Source organism: Homo sapiens, chromosome 1, assembly GCF_000001405.40.
Source record: "Homo sapiens chromosome 1, GRCh38.p14 Primary Assembly".
NCBI lineage: Eukaryota > Metazoa > Chordata > Mammalia > Primates > Hominidae > Homo > Homo sapiens.
Genome location: NC_000001.11, coordinates 26,640,682 through 26,642,726, shown reverse-complemented (window position 1 = coordinate 26,642,726; position 2,045 = coordinate 26,640,682). Strand labels below are relative to the sequence as shown.

Sequence of the window (2,045 nt, the reverse complement as noted above, 5' to 3'; positions counted from 1 at the left end):
CCACACCCAGATAATTTTTGTATTTTTAGTAGAGACGGGGTTTTGTCATGTTGGCCAGGCTGGTCTCGAACTTCTGGCCTCAAATGATCTGCCCGCCTCGGCCTCCCAAAGTGCTAGGATTACCCTACCAGCCAAATTTTTGTACTTTTTGTAGAGATGAGATTTCACTATGTTCCCCAGGCTGGTCTTGAACTCCAGAGCTTAAGCATCCCAAAGTGCTAGGGTTACAGGTGTGAATCACTGAGCCTGGCCTGAGCACATTCTTTATTGAACAAGTGGCCACTTATATAGTATTTTTGCCAAAAATATTTACCTTTAATTATAAAGAAATAATCAGATCATTTTGTAGTTCATAAGCATGATGATTGGGCATTCACATGGATGTGTGAAATGTGCCATCCACAAACATTGTTATGATGTTGGCACATTACCTGTCTGACATGAAAAAGAGGAAAAAGGGCTGGGCGCAGTGGCTCACGCCTGTAATCCCAGCACTTTGGGAGGCTGAGGCGGGCAGATCACGAGGTCAGGAGTTCGAGACCAGCCTGGCCAAGATGGTGAAACCCCATCTCTACTAAAAATACAAAAATTAGCCAGGTGTGGTGGCAGGCGCCTGTAATCCCAGCTACTTGGGAGGCTGAGGCAGGAGAATCGCTTGAACCCGGGAGGCGGAGGTTGCAGTGAGCCCAGGCAATGCCATTGCACTCCAGCCTAGGCAACAGAGTGAGACTCTGTCTCAAAAAAACAAAAACAAAAAACAAGGTAATAGTGTTTTTAAAACAATGTAAATATTATAAGCAGTAATCAGACAAAACTAATTCAAAGCTGTAGCTGAACTCTTTGCTTTCAAAGTTGAAAAGGAAATGAAAGCAATTTTTTGCAGGTAAATCAGTAAAATAAATACTATGGAAATGAGGAAAACATGGACTAATCAGTTCAATTCTGTAATGATATGTGACCAAATGGCATCTATGCAAGTGACAAATCACAAAATAAACCAACTAAAGAATAATCTTCAAATGTACTTTTAGTTCTTAGCTGCAAAGATGCTGGTCTGCATTCATGTGCATTGCTAATTTAAGAAAGAGAGCCTGGGCCAGGTGCGGTGGCTCACACCTGTAATCCCAGCGCTCTGGGAGCCCAGGGCTGGCATATCACCTGAGGTTGAGACTTTGAGACCAGCCTGACCAACATGGAGAAACCCCGTCTCTACTACAAATACAAAAACAATTATCCAGGCATGGTGGCGCATGCCTGTAATCCCAGCTACTTGGGAGGCTGAGGCAGGAGAATGGCTTGAACCTGGGAGGCAGAGGTTGCGGTAAGCCAAGATTGCACCATTGCACCCCAACCTGGGCAACAAGAGCGAAACTCCGTCTCAAAAAAAAAAAGAAAAAAAAAGAGGGCCAGTCGCGGTGGCTCACGCCTGTAATCCCACCACTTTGGGAGGTTGAGGCAGGCAGATCACTTGAGGCCACGAGTTTGAGACCAGCTTGACCAACATGGAAAATCCTGTCTCTACTAAAAATGCAAAAATTCGCCGGACATGGTGGCACATGCCTGTAATCCCAGCTACTTGGGAGGCTGAGGCACGAGAATCACTTGAACCCAGGAGGCAGAGGTTGCAGTGAGCCAATAGCACGCCACTGTACTCCAGCCTGGGCAACTCACTGGGACTCTGTCTCAAAAATAAATAAATAAAATAAAGTGCACAATCCAGTGATTTGAGTATATTCACACCACTACCTAATTCCAGCACATTCTTTCACCCCCAAAGAAAACCCTCTACTCATTAGCAGTCATGCCCTAAACCCTATTCCTTTAGCCTCTGGTGATCACTAATCTACTTTGTACATATTTTATATAAAATAAGTCACACAATTTGTGGCCTGGTGTGACTGGCTTCTTTCACTTAGCATAATGTTTTCAGTTCCATGCATGTTATAGCAGGTATCAGTATTTCACTCGTTTTTATTGCTGAATAATATTCCATTTTGTGGCTATGTCACATTTTGTTTATCCATCAGCTGATGGACCCTAGAATT

The 2,045-nt window shown here is 44.0% G+C and overlaps 1 non-coding gene across 1 annotated transcript; it reads left to right on the top strand.

Annotated features, from left to right (window-relative positions):
- Positions 1 to 337: 337 nt before the first annotated feature.
- Positions 338 to 441, top strand: LOC124904813 (small nucleolar RNA U13). Its single transcript, XR_007067409.1, has one exon. It is a non-coding gene; the product is annotated as a small nucleolar RNA U13 (small nucleolar RNA).
- Positions 442 to 2,045: the final 1,604 nt, after the last annotated feature.